Source organism: Homo sapiens, chromosome 10, assembly GCF_000001405.40.
Source record: "Homo sapiens chromosome 10, GRCh38.p14 Primary Assembly".
NCBI classification, from domain to species: domain Eukaryota; kingdom Metazoa; phylum Chordata; class Mammalia; order Primates; family Hominidae; genus Homo; species Homo sapiens.
The window spans coordinates 33,271,504-33,292,597 of NC_000010.11; the positions used below are offsets into that span (position 1 = coordinate 33,271,504).

General features: G+C 40.1%; 1 protein-coding gene and 1 pseudogene across 18 annotated transcripts in view; both read right to left on the minus strand.

Annotated features, from left to right (window-relative positions):
* The window catches only part of NRP1 (neuropilin 1), a 157,175-nt gene that overhangs the window by 94,011 nt on the left and 42,070 nt on the right, over window positions 1-21,094 (minus strand). The window lies entirely within an intron of this gene.
* On the minus strand, window positions 16,801-17,098 carry RN7SL398P (RNA, 7SL, cytoplasmic 398, pseudogene; annotated as a pseudogene).

Below are 21,094 nucleotides of genomic sequence, written 5' to 3' on the forward strand. Positions count from 1 at the left end.
TAAAAATGGAAAATAACTTTGTTTATACCCACTAGTCTGAATATTTAAAGGAATATCATTGTTTGAGTCTTTAAAGAAATCTCGTTGTTTGAGAAAGAAACGCTTGATACCACAAAAGTGATGAGATTTAAAATTCAGGCTTAATAATGACACTAAGGATACAAATCGTAAGGAAAGTGACAATAAAATATTACTAAAAAGTTAACACAAAGATAAGAGATAGTTGGATCTTATTTATCTTTAAAATGTACAAAGCCATCACCAATACACTAGTGTCCCCTAGGAAAATAAGAAAGCTTTTGTCTATTTGGTGTTATGTATTTCTTAGGAGCTTGCTCTTTCTTCTCTTTTTATTTACCAAGTCACCTAGGAGCAAGAGAATCTGATTCATCTTCCATTTTTCTTCTTGAAATGACATGAAAACATTACAAGGCATTCATTTCCAACCTTTGTTTTATTTCTGTACTTAACTTGGTTCAAAAGTCCTGGGATATATTAATTTCAGGAATGGCTAAAATATGGCAGTAACATAAACTGTATCTGGCAATTTAAAAGAGATCAAAGTGGGGGAAATCTTCATGATGCCCAATGTCATCTTTAACAATCTCTTCTCAAACTGCCCGGGACGCATGACTTATGTTTACATAAAGTCTCAGGAGACAACTGCAACGATGCTATCACTAGTAAAAGTGGACAGCTTAAGGCTCTCTAAATTAAAAATGACATTACCTCATCAGTTAAAACTGTGTGCCAGCTTTGTGTATATCAAGAAGAAAATAAAGCTGACATTGATGGAACTAAGCATTAACATATGTGAATTATTGTATTAACTGCATTTCCTCTGCTACATATGATGCTTCCAGTAGTAGATACTTGGCCTGCTAACACCACCGTCCCTTTGCAAAACTGTGGAAATACACAGAGGTATTGTTCATTTCTCCATACTTTGGGAAATGCTTTGCATGTTAAAAGAAGACAAAAGTGAAGGAGGAGGAGGAGAAAGAGGAGGAGGAGGGGAGGCAAGGAGGAAAAGGAGGAGGAGGAGGAGGAAGAAGAAAGCATTATGTTTAAAATCCTAACTAGCCTTTATAATCAATGGGATGTAGCTGGAAAGAACACCATCTCTGTATTCATTAAAGCCCCACAAGCTAGCATTTATGGAGTAATTCCTTTTATCTCTACTGCTTCATTGACAAGGCAGGTTTGCATGTTTCGCCCCACGCTTTCTTATAATTTAACTGTGATTTGAACTGTTGACTGTGTTTGGCCTGGCGACGGTGCATCCAGCTCTGCAATATAGGCTTTTTACTTGAATCCTGACATGGTCTGAATACTAAGTGGCCAAATTCTAGCTCACGTTGCCTTCCAAGCACAAATAAGAGAGGTGGGTGAGGCATTCTGAAAAACTAAGGCATTTCTGTTGAGGATACGTTCCTCTCAGGTAGCAGAGAACTCAGCTAATATAGTGCCGGTGGATTGCAACAGGGAAAGAAGCTGGTATTTTAATTCACATATCCTCCAATAGTAAATACTAGGCGCTCCTCTTGGCAAAAGTAGAAGCTATTTTTAAAAGTATGTGTGGGGTGGTGAGTGGGGGGTGGGGGGTGGGATTAGAATCCCTTCCCAGCAAGAAATAAGTCATTGCACAGTTAAGTGCCAATTTTAGGAAATTGAATTATTCAGGAATACTATAGTTACATTTGTAAACTGGAAGGCTGCTATCGTTTTAGCACTTCCCTTCAAAGTACTATCCAACAGGGCCCCAAATAGTATCGCAAATAGCAGCTCCTGTAAATATTCAGGAGGGTGTACTGCGCACAAGTTGCAGAGGGGAGTATTGCCAAAGAAGTTAAGGAAGCAGCTTGAGTCTCCCTCTGGAGTTGATACCAGCTCCACTCGTTAAGTTTCGCACTGGCAAGCGTGCTGCCAGGAATGCAGCTGGTGTGCCAGCATCCCTCCCTAGAGACTAAACGTGTCACCACTGCAACGCACCCAGCCTGCATTGGCCTGAAGCCCAGGATCCTGAGTTTGCAAATTTCGATCCCGAAGCCGGCTGCAGATTGCTCTGTTACTGTTGCCAGTGTGGCAAACACGGCATTGCTCGGGATGTCGAGATCCCCAGTCACGACAGCACAGCAGCCCGGCAAAGGTGAGAATGAAGGCACCTGTTTGGCTCTCATTCACTCCCTGTGTTCCAGCCGCTGGATGAGAGCTGGGAATTACGTCTGAGGAATTTAATTCATAAAAGCTAGAGGAGGGGTCAGAGAGTTGACCCCTCTGTCTGTCTGGGTCCCTGCTCTGGAAAAAGAAAGCTCCAGTTCACAAGGAGGCTATGAATGGGTCCAAAGGGCACCACCGTTCTATGCAGGGTCTTTTTCTCTCTGCTCACATACAGACGGGGCTCCCATCTGGGGAAGGTCCCTCCCCAGACCTCACCCTCCCCACTTACCACCCTCGGAATGTAAACATGTTGTGGATTTTTTAAATATTCAGAGAAGGACCAACCCCTCCCTCCTCATTTAGGCATCTTCCCATTATTTTTCTTAAATTTTCTACCTTAAACCTTCCCCATTCTATAGTAACAGTGGTAAAGTGGGTAAACATTTATTGCCAAGGAACTCAAAGATAAATCTCTGCCTAAACCCTTTTGCAATTAAAAGGTACTTTGCCACAGTTTCAACGTTAGGGTGTAATCCGCCAGGTGGTTGTTTTCATGAGTGTCCCTGGCTTTAGAATCCACGCTCCTCAAGCTAAAAGCCTATTGGCTCCATTATTTCCCCAGACTCCTCATCCTATCTACGTAGATGCAGGTGGTGAAACATTTTGAGTCCTAACAGTAATCACAGGTTAGGTTTCCCAGAAGAGTGCTCAAAGAATAAAGATTTCTTTCTAAGAATTCTTAAGAGCATTACCTAGAGATTATTTTTTTTCTTTGGGAAAGTTTGAATTATGGGTTTAGGAAAATGGCCAAGTAAGGGGAAAGTGATGGGAAGGTGAGAAATGTATTCAGTCACTGAATAGCGGTTTCTGAGGCTTTATAGGTATGTGGTGCTGAACAGATGAATAGTGACTTTGCCTAAGTCAGGTTTTCTCTGGTGAGTACAAGTGACCCCTGACTCTCTACAGTGGAGATGGTTAATGGAAAGGAAGCTAATCCTCCACAGGGTGTTGTCTGACACTGTGAGCTACTGCACCAACCCCCCAGGCTTCCGGACATTCTCACATTATTAGGAAGGGGGATTTGAGGTGGTGGTGTCTTTTTAATCTCCTTCCAAGAGGACCTCCCCCCACTGGCATAGTACATTAATAATGGAGAAATATGATGCCTGACATCATAAGCTGGAGTGAGAAATGATGTTGGCGAACACAATTTTCACCAGCAAAAATGTGTTTCTGTGGCTCTTTGGTTTATTTTGCACGAGCATTAATAGCTATTCAAACTGAACAACCTGTAAACGATCGCTGTGCTGCCGTCCAAGAATTAACTTACGTATCCCACAAAAGAGAACAGATTTTTCTTCCAGAGTATTAGAAACAGGATTTGGAAATAAAAATATACAATGGTGGAGCTAGGAGGAGCCAATTAGTCTGCATCTATGTTTCTGAGTGTTTTTACACTAGAGTCGTCCCCTAATAGTTCTGGCTTGCAATGTTCTAATCATGATGTATGAAAAGTCTTAAAAGAGTCATAGCCTCTTATTTAACAAAAGCATTTTTTAGAAATCTGTTCTAAGCGAACAACCCAAAATAATGTCAAATACCATGGAATATTATTCAGCCACTAAAAAGTGTGTTCAGCTCATGCCTGTAATCCCAGCACTTTAGAAGGCGGAGGTGGGTGGATCACGAGGTCAGGAGATCGAGACCATCCTGGCTAACATGGTAAAACCCCGTCTCTACTAAAAATACAAAAAATTAGCCGGGCATGGTGGCATGCACTTGTAGTGCCAGCTACTCGGGAGGCTGAGGCAGGAGAATCACTTGAACCTGGGAGGTGGAGGCTGCAGTGAGCCGAGATGGCGCCACTGCACACTAGCCTGGGCAACAGAGCGAGACTTTGTCTCAAACAAACAAACGAAAACAACACCAACCAAAAAAAAAAACCATGTTCAGGCCAGGCGTGGAGGCTCACACCTGTAATTCCAGTGCTTTGGGAGGCTGAGGCAAAAGGATTGCCTGAGGCCAGGAGTTTGAGACGAGCCTGAGCAACAAAGCAAGAACCCCCAACACCTTCTCTACAATTTTTTTTTTTTTTAATTAGCAAGGTATGGTGGCTCATGGCTGTAGTCCCACCTACTTGGGAGGCTGAGGTGGGAGGATCACTTGAGCCCAGGAGTCTGAGACTGCAGTGAGCTGTGATTGTGTTACTGCACTCCAGCCTGGTCAACAGGGCAAGACTCTGTCTCTAAAATTAAAAACAAAACAAAACAAAAAAAACTCAACAAAAGTTTCTTAAATAACAGGAAAAATGCTTATGATATAATCAGTGAAAAATCAGAATATAAAACCCTATATACAGTGTATTCTCAACTCTTATTCATATGCAGAAAAAATCTAGACGGAACTAACTAGGCCAAGCCATTAATTGGTTATCTCTGGGTAGTGACATTATGTTCCTTATTCATTTCTGTATTTTTCAAAATTTTTACAATGGACAAGTAGTCCTTTATAATCAGGTAAAAGTTATTTTGAAAAGCACTAACTACCTATATATAAATAAACAAATCAATACCTGTTTGCCTTATTTTCCATTTGTTGATAAAACAACAACAACAACAACACTATCTTGGAAGTGAATCAAAGACGGGCTTTGCTTTTTTTTTCTTCCCCCACCCACTGGATCAATGAGATGCTCTGTGTGATATTTATTTTTAGGACCAGAAAGTTAAAGTGAATTGGATTTGATCCATTTTCTGAAAGGCTGGCAAGAATTCTTGACATTGCACAGGAATTTCCATGTCAGCATGTTCTCACATGTATGATCTAATTTAGTCTTTACAATGATCCCAGGAAGGCAGGTAGCAGGCGATATCCTAGAAAGAGCCCTGAGCTGGGAGAGCACAGCATAAGAGACCCAGGAATGAGACACTTTTTATGCTTTTAATATTGCCTACTTCGGGGCAAGCTTGATTCTGATATCTGCACTTGTTACTCCCTTTCATATTTTTTGTGGGGGGATGGGTGTGTCCTTACTTTAGGATTAGCCATTAACTATCGGTGATTCATTTTTCCACTGGTTATTGTTGCTAGACAATCATCTCATCAACTAATACCTCACTGATTTTTCTGTGTGCTTAGAGCATCTTGGTGTGGACAAAGATTTATTGAAAGGACTACAAGAAATAAGACAAAATAAGCCCTGGATCAAAGACATATGTCCCATAATTCAAGACCAGCTTGGACCACAAAGCAAGAACCCCTAACCCCCTCTCTACAAAATTTTTTTAAAAACATTAGCAGGGTATGGTGGCTTGTGCTGTAGTCCCAGCTACTTGGGATGCTGAGGTGGGAGGATCACTTAAGCCCAGGAGTTTGAGGCTGCAGTGAGCTGTGATTGTGCCACTGCACTCCAGCCTGGGTAACAGATCAAGACCCTGTCTCTAAAATTAAAAAAAAAAAAAAGAAAAAAAATTGCTCAATAAAAGTTTTTAAATAACAGGAAAAATGCTTATGATATAATCAGTGAAAAATGCTTATGATATAATCAGTGCATGTGTGAGTGTATGTGACAGAGAGAGACAGACACAGACAGCCGTCTTGGTGTCTGGTGAGTCCCACTGAATGGGCTTCCTGCCAGAGCTGTCCTGGTCCTCCTGCTCGGGGACCTCATGACTACTGGAAACAAAGCCCAGCCTGCAAGACTGAGATGAAACAAGGTTGGCTCCTGGAGGGGGCTGCACGGTAGCTCTAATTTTGTTTCCTTTCTCACACCAGCACTGTGGGCCTGATCACGGGCAGCCCCAAGGAAGGCCTGACCACCACCAGCGCTGCCACCAGCGCTGCCACCAGCCTGAGTGGCAATGCCCAGCTTCCGAGGAGCTATGGGGCCTGAGCCTCAGGGCGTTGCCAGAGAATCCCTAGACCTTTCTATAAGAAATAGAGAGGCTGGGCCACAACCTGGCTGCTGTCCTCCCAGCTCTTAGTATGTGGTCAAATGCCAAATTTCTATGAAAGTCATTCTAAATGTGTATAAAATATAAAATTGCATGCTATGGAATATTAAATAAAGAATAATAATAAAGAATATTGCTTTATTATATTGTCCTAGTTTCCTTTGAAGTTTGTTTTTAAGTTTATAAAGTATTCTTTCTTTTTTAAAAATATTTTTCCTATATATATTTTTCACACATATTTATTTATTCACTCATTCATTCATTCATTTATGTATCTGTCTTCCAATTTGCTCTCTGTGTATTATAAGCAGGATTGTGAGACATATGTCTTTGATCCAGGGCTTATTTTTACTTTTTGTGACACTTCCTAAAACTCCGTTTTTCTTACTTCTTGTAGTCCTTTCAATACACCCCACAAATCTAACTTCTAAACCATAGCATTACTACTTCTATACTTTGCGATGTGTTTATGCATATTTGCATCAAGTAATACGTTGTCGACACTGTCAGGGTGTAAGGTGATTTTTTTTTTCTGTTGGGGCAAGCACTTACGACTTATTAGTAATCCCATTCATTTGGGTAGGAGAGTGATTATTTGGTAGCCTTTCCATTTCCCCACCATTGAACTCCTTCGCCAATCTTATCACCCAAACTCAGATTCCATGTATTACTACATGGGAGGACTCAAGGTTTTTGCTGTCTGCATAGCTCCAAAATAAGCACAAGTTCCAAATTTCAGGGATTATCTCCTGGACTGCTTGGACACAAGCCACAGAGCTGGGAAGAACGTGGTGCTAAGGAGACCAGAGCAGCAATGTGACATCCATCAGTGGCTGCTGGATGTACTTAAGCTAAACCCTCTCTCCTGCAACCAACTTCACTGACTGTAAATGGGACACCAAGTCCTCACCTCTCTTGCAGAAAAAAAAATAAAAATGTTTTCAGAAACATTTGTCTTTTCTTATGTCGTTGTCTTCCTCAAAATCCCACATAGTGTTACCCTTGAGCTTGTCTAAAGGCTTCTAGGACATTCTCCTGCAAGAAATTATAATCGCATATAGTCCACCTAACATCTTACTCTGATTCAGTTTAGGAAAGTTTTCTATATATATCATACTGAGATGACCAGTTCTCGAATAATCAAAGTACAGTAGAGCTCACAAAGCTAATCTCACACATTAAAAATGTAACCTTTAAGCTTTTGTAATGTCTCAGGGGTCATAATAAAGACTATCAATAATTTTATTGTCACTAAGAAAACTGATGATTAATTGATGAGATAGGTAATCAGGTCAGGTACGAGAGTTTATAGTCCCAGGAAACAAGGTATTATGAAAATGAAGAAAAAACAAAATATCAAAGAAAAAATTTGTAAGAAACATTAAAAGAGATCCAAAATGGCTTTCACTGTAGTAATGCAAAGGAATAATAATTGATTGTGCATGGGAATATGAGAGCTGTCATGGGTGATGGTTAGTCAAGGCCGACTTGGAAGGGGAGAAACCAAGGCAATGTATGTCTAGCAGATAGTGTACTGCTGGTTTCCTATTGCAAAGTAACAAATTATCACCAACTTAGTGACTTGAAACAACACACAGTTCTTAGCTCACAGGTCTACAGGTCAGAAGTCTGGGATGACCTTGCTGGATTCTCTGCTCAGGGCATCACGGGGCAGAAATCGAGGTGTTGGCTGGGCTGCAGTCTCATCCGAAGCTGGGGATCCTCCTGGAAGCTCACACCACTGGCAGAGTTCAGGTTCTTGCAGCTGCAGGGCTGAAGCCTCTGCCCTCTTTCTGGCTGCCAGCTGGGGGTGCTCCCAGATCCTCTCCATCTTCAGAGCCAGCAATTGATAATCTCCCTAGCATCACATTCTTCCCACATTTCCACAGGCTTCTGGAAAAGCTCAGTCCCTTCACCAGATGAAGTCATCTCACCCAGGATAATCTCCCTTTCTTGAGGTTGACTCATGATTTGGTACCTTAATTAAATCTGCCAAAGCCTTTTGCAGCGGCTCCTAGATTCGTGTTTGATTGAATAACTGGGAGACAGTGTGTGGATATGAGGGGCTGCGGATCTTGGGGACCCTCTTGGAATTCTGCCTACCACTAAGACCACGCTCTGCTAGGACACGTGGAGATTGAAAGCTGTGATAGGTACTGAAGGGAGGAGGGATCATCTGCTCCATCTTCTGATACAGCAAAGGGTAGTCGGGTCCAGGGTAAAGCCAAGGGCAGGACTGGGAAGCAAGTGATGGCAGAGGCTATTTCAATGTCCTCTCATCATAGTGACTGTCGGTTTGGGAGCTCTGAGCCTATAGGCATTGTTCACAATGAATAGGAAAGCAGGATAATGGATTGAGCCACACTCTCCTGATTGAAGCAAAACCAGAAGCTCCAAGATTGCCCAACACACGTCTAGAGACAGAAAAGTGATAACAGCTTAACTCAAAAATAAATGTATCTAAGAATTCAAGACATATGGTGTTAAATATTGATCAAAATATACAATGTTAATGGAAAAATATTTGGAATCTAAATTTCTTGTTTCTGAGGAGTTTCATTTCATAATTAAGATTTATTGTCCAGGAAGATTTTGTTTTTTAAAAAACCACCCTTCACATGGGAAAATATTTCTCTGATTTAGCTCAGATTATAAAACCCAAGGATTCATTTTAAACGGAAGGGAAGGAACGCCTCCCTTAAAACAACTGTGTTCCAGAAGTGATGGAATCTTCTAGTGTCAGACTTGCAAAGTTCAGTATTTGTAGAAAATTCACATGCCTTTAATTACAATAAACTCAATTCCCATGTAAAACTGTGCCATCTGGAAGATATTAACATCATTTATAACTTGTTCACCTCCCTATTTCATAGAAAATTTTTACTCCTTGCCAACTTTCCACTGTTCTTCAGGGAAAAAAAAATACAATTACTTTCATGGATTGTCTCTAGAAGAGTTTATATAGCAAGTCCAGCCATCAAGAAGTGATAAAGGAGGCATTTTGTACATATTTACTTCCTTCTTATTGCTTTAAGTCCTTATATCCTTACTTTGAAGGTTTTTTCCCTATAAAGAATATTCTCCAACAGGCGCTGTGGCTCACACCTGTAATCCCAGCACTTTGGGATGTCGAGGTGGGCAGACTGCTTGAGTTCAGGAGTTTGAGACCAGCCTGAGCAATGTGGTGAAAGCCCGTCTCTACCAAAAATACAAAAATTAGTTGGGCATGGTGGCACACGCCTGTAGTCCTAGCTACTTGCGGGGCTGAGGCAGGAGGATCACTTGAACCTGGGAGGTTGAACCGAGATGGCACCACTGAACTTCAGCCTGGGTGACAAAGTGAGACCTTGTCTCAAAAGAAAAAAAAAAAAGACAAGAAAAGAAAAAGAAATAAAGAATATTCTCCTCTCTCTGCTCCACTCCCTGCAGCCTTCCAAATTTTTTTTTTTTTGAGACCAAGTCTCACTTTGTCACCCAGGCTGGAGTGCAGTGGCACAATCTTGGCTTACTGCAACCTCTGCCTACAAGGTTCAAGCGATTCTCCTGCCTCAGCCTCCCAAGTAGCTGGGATTACAGGCAAGCACCACCACACCCAGCTAATTTTTGTACTTTTAGTAGAGACAGGGCTTCACCACATTGGCCAGGCTGGTCTTGTACTCTTGGCTTCAAGCAATCCACCCATCTCGGCCTCCCAAAGTGCTGAGATTACAGGCGTGAGCCACCACTCCCAGCCTCCAAAGTAATTTTTTTTAAGTGAACTGACTTTTTTTTTATCACAGTCATGCAGAGAGAAGGTTGAGGCCATAAGAAATGGATTCTGTTCTTTGTTCCCAGGCTCAGGAGCCACTCCTGCACCTTTGATCCAAAAGGCGGCTCCTCCATTAAGAAGGATCACCATCTTTGACACCTCACAAAGTGTCACAGGGGACAATGAGGAAAGGAGGTGACATCTACCTGACATCTGGCAGTGAAGTCAGCCAAAACTGGATGACTGTGATCTCAGTCAATCTGTCCTCACACTGCCACTGACTTGTGCCCTGGATAGGTCACTAACTGACTTCTGTGAGTCTCAGTGGCTCGTCTGTAAAATGGATAAAATGATGATTACCTTGCAGAATCCCAGGGAGAAATAAACGAAATCATACATGTCATGACGCTTGTAGGTGTTCGATGGTCCCTTTCCAAGTGAGGTTGGGATATGGAGAGAAGGAGAGAGACAAATACATAGAGAACCAAATGGAGAAGAGCTTTGTTTTCCACAGTGTATACTATTGGGTCAAAACAGGCTATAGTGTAGGTAGTCCAGGAAATTTAGCTATTGTTATCTCCCAGGGGACTCTGTATCACTTAGAAGATAACCAACTCTCAGAATATGACCATAGCCTGATATTCTGAAAAATACTGTTTGGAATGACAGTCAGTTTTGCTCTAGCATTGCTCTCAAAGCTCAATCAATTAAAACCATTGTCAGTAATGGAGTTAAATAAAGCAATTTATATATACCATAGTATGTTTTTTTTTTTTAAATCATGAAATCCGTTAAGTGTTTCCATTGATGTACCCAACCGATTTAATGAAGTGCAGTTGGATTAGTGCTATTAGCGTGCAGCACTGAATTTGCTCAAAAAGCCCCCTTAATTGGTATGGTGGAGGCACTAGGGTGCAATTTCCAGTTCTGGAAAGGCAGTGCGTCCGGCTTACTGCATCACAAAATCATGATCCTCAAATTTTCTTTTTAATTCTTTGGAAACAAGAAATGAAGCAATAATTCTGTTTTATATTATAGGACCTAATGTGCTAATTTAAAGATATTTTTAAAATCCTCCTGATTAATTAGTAATTATTCAGTGGGGATCTAGGTAGTTTGCTAATCAAAGCTACAGGAATTAAAGTTGGCAAATTCTTATTTTTTAAAGTTTTTTCACCCCCCAGTAACTACCATAGAACCTTTTCAGCATCAACTAAGGGAGATTATTTATTCTGGAGCAGGGAAGTCCTTTACCTTAAAATGACCGTCATCTTTTCCTAAAAAAAGCAAAAAATAGTTGAAGAAAAATGGGTCTACTGACACCAGTTAAATGCTTCTTCCTTTTAGTGGCACTAACATTAAAAGAAAGGTTGAGCTGAACTTTTCTTTTTTTTTTTTGAAGGCAGAGTCTTGCTCTGTCACCCAGGGTGGAATGCAGTGGCACGATCTTGGCTCACTGCGACCTCTATCTCTTGGGTTAAAGCAATTCTCCTGCCTCAGCCTCCTGAGTAGCTGGGACCACAGGTGCCCACCACCACACCCAGCTGAGTTTTGTATTTTCAGTAGAGACAGGGTTTCACTATGTTGGCCAGGCTGATCTTGAACTCCTGACCTCATGATCCACCTGTCTCAGCCTCCCAAAGTGCTGGGATTACAGGCGTGAGCCACCGCACCTGAACTTGAAGAAGATGGGCAGTGGGCACTAACCTAAGTAAAAATTGCACAATTTTGTTCAACAGACCCTTCCAGTTTCCTTGAAGTACAAACTGCTAAGATAACCGCAACCAAGAAATATGAATCTTTTAGAGATGTACCTAATAATATTTATGATGCTAGAATGAAATGTACATGAGAAAAACAGATCATGTATTAGAGAGTTTCCTCTTCTGTAATCTCTAGTGTTTATTGAAAGTAGCATACTGTTTGCTATAAATCATTTTTAGATTCTGATACATTCATGCTTAGAGTACTTGTCCGTTTTCTTTTTTTCATTTTTTGAAATTCTATTAAGTCAGAAGGTGGGTGTATCAGCTCCATACTACTGAACTTCTAGTAGTCTTACTATTCTGCCAAATATCCTCTATATGCCCAAAATCAATCTGTAATGCAGTGAATAATTTATATAATGAGAAATATATCTCTGGATGTACAATAATACTTCAGATATCAACTAGAGCTTTTTTGTATCTGACAACATGTGAAAATAAAAGATTCAGAGAATCATTGTTTATTGTCTAGCCAGTAGTTTTACATGATTTTGTTTCTTTTCACTGATTTGCCTTATAGACTAATGAATTGGTGTACAGCAAACCTTTAACTATCTCTATATTAGGAACAAACTCATGGAGAGAAGAAAGGATTGTAATGATCTAGGTAACCTCATGATTTATATGGACCTTAAGGAGTAATTGTGTGTTTAGAAGAAAGGAAAGCAATGGCCATAAACATTACCTAAGAGCAGGAGCACCATCTCAGCTAAGTTTAACCATATGACCACACAAAGGTGCAGCTTGCTGAAATGGGCTCTGTGGTTGAACACATTTCAAACTAAACAAGGGGAACATACAACCCCCATCCTACCATCTAAAGTGCTCCTCAATCCCAAGATAACCTTATGGCAATCCTAACAGGAAAAAATGGAATAGGGTCAAGTTCACTAAAGTAAAACGTGGCATAAAGCAAACATGTCCAAATGTACTCTTCTCTTAACACAATAGAAGCTAGAGAAAGGTATAAAAAATTCCCCCTGATAATACTTAAGTCTCAGCTGTGACAACAAGACAGGTAGGCAAAGGGAGAGAGAATGTTGTTCTTTACCTTCTTTGACAGATTATTATTCCAGCAAAAAGGGGATTTGTTTTTACTAAAAACCAGAATATGTAAAATAACTTAGCTTTTTATTATATTTAAGCAGCTTAATGTCTTTGAATACATTTAATGTAGACAGCTGCAGTTGACTGCCCTTTATGCATAAAATTTATTAAGAGGATTGATAGTGTAGATAAAGTCACAGGAAGAGATAGGAACAAGCTTACTTTTCAGCATTTTAGTTCTTGAATTATTTGGGGGCATATAAGTGCTCATTTAAAAATGTACAATAAAACAGGCCTTTTGGAAATCCTTCCAGTTGAAACTTATTAAAAACATTACAGGTTCCTGAAATTGTCATGTTTAAAAATACCCCATATTTCAGATATTTCATTAATTCTTTTTTTTCCCTTTACGGCAAATTCCCTAGATCATATTATTGTTTTCATCACTTTCTAATCTATTGTGTTTACTCCCTTTTTCTTATTAGTCTTATAAAATGCTTCAAGAGAAATTTTTTTTGATAGTAATTAGGGAAATGCTGCAAATAATGTTCTTTTCATGAATATTCACAATTTATATCAGTAAATTAAAGGCTCTGAGAGTTATGAAACCCTGAATTAACTTGGTTAAACCCAACATACGCCAATCTCATTGATCACATGACCCTTTTATGACATAATACCTATGGAATCAGTGCCGTCATGAAGGGCTTGCTATGTGCTATTTTGAAAAGTCATTTACTTTGCACAAGCACAGATCAGAAGCAATAAAAAAATTCAGGGAGAGAATCAACTTTGTAGATGAAAACATACATTTGAGAAGACAGAGATAAATTTGGCAATCTAGTTCTTTCTCCTATTCTGCCTTCAACATTAAGGATTTAATTTGACTCAGTGCTTTGAAAGACTGTTTTAGCAACTGTTTCTGGCTAAACAAGTACGATGCTGATACCTAAGACTGTGCCTATACTTAGTAAAAAGAGCTCAACCAAGGCTGACAAATGCACTTAGCTTGTTTTCCTCTAGTTTGTCTCCCTGAGAGCAGGAATCAAGAATGCCCTGGTTTTACTACTTAGAGTTAAGGTGACCGCCATGAATAGAACTAAGCAATATTTTACAGTGGGAAGATATAATAGACCAAGGTTGCATTTTATAGATGGAAAAACTGGAGCCCAGAACACTCAATGGAGTGGAACAATATTTCAGATCCAGTTATAATAGAAGAATTAGAACTTACCACAATATTCTGATGAAAGACAAATCATGACATCTCATTTTCTAGGTGATGATGAGAAATTTTTTCGTGATCATTAGGATCCACTTCTAATTTAAGATTCCTACCACAGGATTTCTCATCCTTGCTCAAAACCCTACAGGAAGGGGGCTGGGTGCAGTGTTGTAATCCCAGCACTTTGGGAGCTGAGGTGAGAGGATCACCTGAGGTCAGGAGTTTGAGACCAGACTGGCCAACATGGTGAAACCGCGTATCTACTAAAAATACAAAATTACCAGCCATGGTGGTGCATGCCTGAAATCCCAGCTACTCTACTCTGGAGGCTGAGGCAGGAGAACTGCTTGAACCCGGGAGGCTGAGGCTGCAGGGAGCCAAGATTGAGCCACTGCACTCCAGCCTGGGGGAGGGAGCGAGACTCCATCTCAAAAACAAAACAAAACAAAACAAAACAAAACAAACAACAACAACAAAGAAAACCTACAAGAAGGGGAAATTCCGAATCCAGACAGGAAGCTCATCCCATCTTTGACCCCCGGGTGAGTATTCCAAGTCTTCCTTACTTTGCCTCCAATCTGTTCCGTCAACTATTGTTTCTTCAGTATTTAATGTCATTCCCACCCATTGATCCTAAGACTGCATTTAATTCCTCTTCTGCATGACAGCCTTACAGTTATCTGCACCGTGATTTCACTTCCCTATGATGAGTTTCTAATTTTATGGTATTATGAGAAGACAAAAATTTAAAGAACTCATTTATTAGACTGACACCTAAGAAACAGGCCCAAACACAGATAAGCAAAGAAACGGCTTCTCTAATTGCATAAAGGTTGTTGAGATGTTATTACTTTAGCAAGACAGGGATGGCAAGTATGCATGTAAGTATTTCACAGGCTCTGCAAAACGTGTGGGAAGCCTGTGTCACAGAGGGAAGGATGGATGACTAGACTTCCCCTCTGTGTTCTTATCCCTTGAATGCCTTGCTTTTCCCTCCATTCCTACATCCTCCTCCTACATCTGCCCTTCCTGCTAATCTGGGACCATGCAATCTAGAGGTAGAGTCTTGTGATGAGAATGAAGATAATCCCATCATTCTTTGGAGCAAGGATCCAGGAAATGGAGAGAGGTCCAGGGCAGAATGAAGGGCTGATCCAGGTCTCCCATAGATGGCCCCAAGCACCAGAGAGCCAAAGAAATGCCTGGATGACCATTTAACACAAGCATTTTCCACATCTATTTTGAGGGTTGGCTTTCTGATGCCACAGAACAAACTTAACTTATTCTGCTGACTTTTCTTTTACAAACTGGGCATGCCAGCCAAGAACTCCAAATTCTGGACAGAGAACATGACTATTTTTATAGCTGTTTAGTTGCTATGCTGAATTTTCTCTCCGCCCCCCCACCCAAGCAACTAGGCAATTTCATGCCAAATCTTATAGTCCATTTAACATTTTTGCGTGTGTGTAATATAATAAGATTATTGCTGCACTGTAAAAATGTCATTGATTCAGGAGACCTTTCTTAATGACTGAGATTGCAATAATCCCCCTTCCCAGACATAGGCAAAATACCCATTTTCACTAATTAAACACACACATAACTTTCATAAATTTTAAATTTAAAATAGGCTTTTGTAAATTTCAAAGTCAAATGGTCTTTATATCAATTACTTACTAAGGAATTCCTCCCTAATTATTCACCAACGAACATACACTCAAAAACACAGGTTAACAGCTCAAATACTACTGGAGCAGAAGTAACATTGAATTTGGCAGTCATTAAAAATAATAACTTCAACTTGATGTTTTTCTAAGTTTTCTTCTTTAAATACAATGTCTTCAAAAATACTTTCTCATTAATGTGTGACAGGCACGTTAAACACAGGCTGTGCAAATATTTGAACAGTAATAATATTGATTTCTTCCATGGCAATTTTCCATACAAATGGTAGAAGACTACTAGCAGAAGCTCTGATTTCTACTCTCATGATGCTCTGCAATTAAACAGGAAAGGATTCTTAGCATGTACGACATACATAATTTTTGGTGGAAAAAGTAGTAATAGCTTATATTTACATAGCCCATTTTTCTGAAAAGCTGAAAGAGGTTTTATGCTTGTCATTATTTTAGAAGCTTGGAGAGAAAGAATGAACAGGTGGTGTCCTGTTACACATGAGAATATCTTTACTGCAGCTATATCCCCATCACTATTGAGATAGCTAGTTGACTTGATAAGACCATGGGTTTCACAGGCAATTCTTTAGCCTGACTAGTGAGTCTACTGAATTAACTCCTGCATTCTTCACCCAGAGGCCCATAGAGGTGTCTGGAGTGGAAGGAATGGCATAGACAGAGTCAATGCCTCATCCTTGGGTCCGGACCTTGCTGCCTGTGACTAGGATATCAATCAATAGCATGGGTGCTGTGGAGAAGGTAAGAGAAATGGAAGCTGTGTCTGCTGAAGATCATTTGAGGACATTTCCATAGCAGCTTGTCTGCCATGGTCTCTCGAGCATGCTTAGCCCATTCACAACGTCAGAGCTGTCTCAAGATAGAGTGTGAGCCCGAGCTTTTCTGGGTTGCAAACAACACGGTGCCTTTCCTTCTAACCCTAACCCAAACTTGGTAAAGAATGGTATCTAAATTTGGTTAAAGTGAACTTTGATGACAGTCCTAAAAAATAAAATATATATCCTAGTAGATAAATGTCAGGGTAAAATGAAAATTAGAACGGTTGATTTGGAGGTCAAATGTATGTCCAGGTATTGGCCACATGATTTTCATTTTTAAAGCTCAAATAGAAAGAGGCATGCCTTGGCTAATCCTGTGGGTATGTTTCTGCCCCAAGTCCCTACCAGTTACTATTCTTGGGATAGTGTTAGTTCTTTTTTCATTTCTTAGAGATGGAGTCTCACTGTGTTGCCTTGGCTGGAGTGCAGTGGCTATTCATAGGCACAATCCCACTACTGATCACCATGGGAGTTTTGAGCTGCTTTGTTTCCAACCTGGGCTGGTTCACCCCTCGTTAGGCAAGCTGTTGGTCCCCTGTTCCAAGGAGGTCACCATTATCGATGCTGAACTTAATGTGGACATCTCATCAGCACAGTGCACTACAGCCCAGAACGCCTAGGCTCAAGTGATCCTCTCACCTCAGCCTCCTGAGTAGCTGGGACTACAGGCACACCACCTCACCTGGCATGTTAGTTCTTTTGAAGGACAAAGGCAAGAGCCTGATGTCGCTTATCTAAAGATAACTAGAGAATTTTTCTGGCATCCCTTTCTAGATGTTTCTTTTTTCTTATTGCTGCTGATTCAAATCTCACTCTTTCAAAGCCCACCCAAGGTTCATTTATTCTGTGAAGCTTTTCTTTTACTCAATAACCTGTAAATGTTCCTCTCCTTGAATGTATAAAACCCTTAATTAGGGAGTAGGAGCCAAGGAATAAAAGTTTGCCAAATGTTGCACTACAACTGTTTTTAGGGGGGTCTTGTGTGCCTTATTTACTTCCCTGATAAAATGTATACTTTTAGGTAGGAAATATCTTCCTACTTACCCTAAATTTTTCTGAGAATCAAAAACAGTATTGTTTCCCTGGGATTAAGTTCATGCTACTGAGAAAATGAACCTGCAAGAGAAACTAAAACAACCACCGCATAGCCCAGGTAGTCAAACTATTTTATATTCATACTTTTAACAACACTTAAACAGAATCTTCTAAATCGTTTAGGAACTAGCTCTGGAAGAGAACACCTTAAACTTTCAGACATTTTTTTCTACAAATCACATAAATCACTTCTGGGAAAACTCAAAGCATGGCGGGGTGTACTGCTTTTGTTCCAATTACATTAAACCTTATAAAAATAGCCATAATGACAACAACATCTCTTCAGAAGGGCATGCCAAATACTTAGGGGGCTTAGTCTCACCAAGACCTTCTGGGATTTCGTTACCTAACGCCTATTAGTGATAATAGGTATTACGTCTATAAATCCCTAGGTGCTTATATCAATCTTATCTGTTTTAGTTTCCACAGGTGGAGTGATAACTCTAATGAGGTCCACGTCATCATGACTCCTGTTTAGAGAAATAAAATGTTTAGATCTCAACTTTCCTGCCATTCCCTAGTGGTGTTATAAATAAGGGTGACATTGACGCATTTCAAATTGTTCCTCGAAGAGCGGCAATTCATTATCTTTTAAAGAAATTTGCTCCACATCAAGTCTCAATCCAACTGACATTAGCGTGTGTTAGATACACATACGAATGGTAAGTTTTGCCTGATGAAGCTGTTAATTATTCTCCTGGCTATGTTCACTCCTTACTTTACCACTCTCCTCTATTTCCTTCAATTAGGCACCAAGCATCAAAAGGTTTGCTACGTTTTATCGTTATCACTAATCTGAGTGCACGACACACAATTCATTCTCTTTTCTTTAGTGCCTGAAAATAAAAATCCGCTACCTTTTGTACGGAAGGTCAGTATCTGCGGAGGCCAGCATTTTAGACAGACTACTTGTTCCTTCATTTGAATTTCAAATTCTTATCTATAAATGCTTTTCACCCCCACTTTAAATCCAGGGGCTGAGGAGCATTGTGCGCCCTGCTTTAATAATCTTGGTCTCTTGCATAGCTTGGATATGTAAATTACAGGTTTTGTTCTTTTATTTCTCCCTTTTAGTATCTAACTTCCATTGAAATGGAATATAAGTCCTGCAGCCACTTTGCAACCTGAGGATGTATAGAATGCCTATATGTGATACGTCTATATGTGCATATATTTGTGTATGCTTGAGCATAAATATAAAATATTACAATCTTATCTGTCTACAGAAGATTAATTTACAAAATAAAAAGTTTCCAAATCTGTGCTAGTTTAGTTTGTCCTTCAGAGGACAAAATGCTGTCCTTTGAAGCTCATTTTGTGTGTCTTTGTTACCAAGAGGTTTTTTTTTTTTTTTTTTTAATTCATAGGGGCCACCAAGGCATGAGGGGATGACCGACCCTGGTTAATCCAAACCACAGGACAGACAAAAGATTAATTCCAGTCGCCAGATGATTAACTCTGGTCATTGGGTCACAACCTTGCCTGTCAGTAACTTACTCCTAAACTCCTTCAGGAAAATAAGGAAACTTGAACACGCCACTTTTAAAGTCAAACTCAGTGCCATTATGAAAGACCCTGTATTCTGTGCAAGGTTTCTTGGAGGAATCTGATTTCCAGCTTTTGTTCAATTAGTTTCGTATCAGTCAATCCTTGTTTAAAAACATGTCATAAGTCTCTGTGGTTTGTGCACGCTTCAATTACCTCCGATTATTACATCAAGATTCACAAACGAGATACCAGAGTCACTCCTATTTACTGGGAAATGCTATTGAAGCAAACTGAAATTCAATTTCAGAAAAGATTGCAATAACCCGTCAAAACATCCAAGGAGAGAGGAAGTTGGGCCTCAAGGTGCGTGGGGCCATTGTTAAATGCAAGACGGCATCTCACCTAATAATTTAAACATGGTCTCGTGGCCTGACATTTTTAATGCTTCCTTGATCTCTTTCTTCCAGCCCTGCGTGTTCTTTGCCACTGTAGGGGGCAGTGCATAGCGGGTTGTGGATTAAATACCAAGCCTCATTCTGCCAATAGCACTTTTAGGAGGGGAAAAATCATTGGGTGCTTTTATAAATAGTCACGCCGTAGGTGTCCACAGAAAGCAACCTTTATTCAGGGCTTTTAAAAGCTGCCTGCTTTTTAGATACAAACCAATCCATAAAACTACCAAGTTCAAATTGTCAGCTATTATCTGGGCAGTAAGTTTCAGGCACCTCTGCAGGCTGATTTGATGGTTTTTGTCAGCGCAAATTAGGATCCTAGGTTTAAGTAACGCAATCTGGCTCTAAAAATTAATTTAACTTGCCCAATCCCCACAATACACAGCCCGGAGTTCACATTTACTTTGTGACTCATTGCATTTGAATTAAACTAGAGGGCTAAGAATTTTATGCCTGAAGCAGCTCTGACTCTGAAGAACAGAAACAAACACATATTTCTCCCATCATTTGCTGCTTCAGGGCAAGAAAAAGAAAGCCACTGTAATTTGGAGACAAGACTTTTCCAGACAACTATGAACAACAGCAACCACAGACCAGTACTAAACAGAAATGTGTTGTGGAAACCTGGACTTCAGTAAGAAATTAGTAGGAGCATATCAAACAGATGCAAATATACAATTTTTGATAGATATGGTGTTGGCATGAATTCTAGACGTAAACTCAAAGGGATTGGAAACTTGTTTGTAAATGAACATTTAAAACACAGATTGCGAAGTGTTTTTTGGAAGCAGAGAATCAATTAAATGAAGGAAAATTTAGAAGAGTCATAGACCTGAAAATAAACTAGAAAATTGTCTGTTTCAATATATCCTTATTTTCAAATATGGAAGCTAAGGCTCTAAGAGATTGGGTTGGCCAAGATCACAGTTAGGTTTTTTTGTCTGTTTTGTTTTGTTTTTCATTTTGTTTTTTGAGGCAGGGCCTCAATCTGTCACCCAGGCTGGAGTGCAGTGGTGCAATCTCGGCTCACTGTAGCCTCGACATCCTGGGCTCAGGTGATCCTCCCATCTTAGCCTCCAGAGTAGCTACGACTACAGGTGCATGCCATCACACGTGGCTAATATTTTGTAGAGACAGGGTTTTGCCATGTTGTCCATACTGGTTTTGAACTCTCTGGCTCAAGTGATCCACCCACCTCAGCCTCTCAAAGTGCTGGGATTACAGGCATGAGTCACGGTGCCCAGCCCACAGATTTAGTTGTGAAGTCAGAAAACCCATGTCTTCTGACTCTCATCTTAAACTTTTCCATAAACTTCTCAAACAGGTTTTCCCACTTGTATCGATTAAGAATGCAAATCCTCTCTGCTAATTTACTTCTTTCCCAATTGTTCTTGGAAAGCAAAATTCTACAATATCAAACTCTTGATTGTAGGCCCTCTTATCTTTCCAGCATATTTTTTTACATAAACAAAGTGGTTTTTAAAATCTTCATTCAAAAAAATATATATGCATTTTGAAGTGTTCTGATGGTCTTGGTTCATGTTTAATTCCAAATATAAGTAGAGAGGAAAGTAAGTTGTCTATGTATAGACCACATGCTGACCTTGACACTGAAGCCCAGCAGGTGAAAGAGGGCATCCGAGAATTT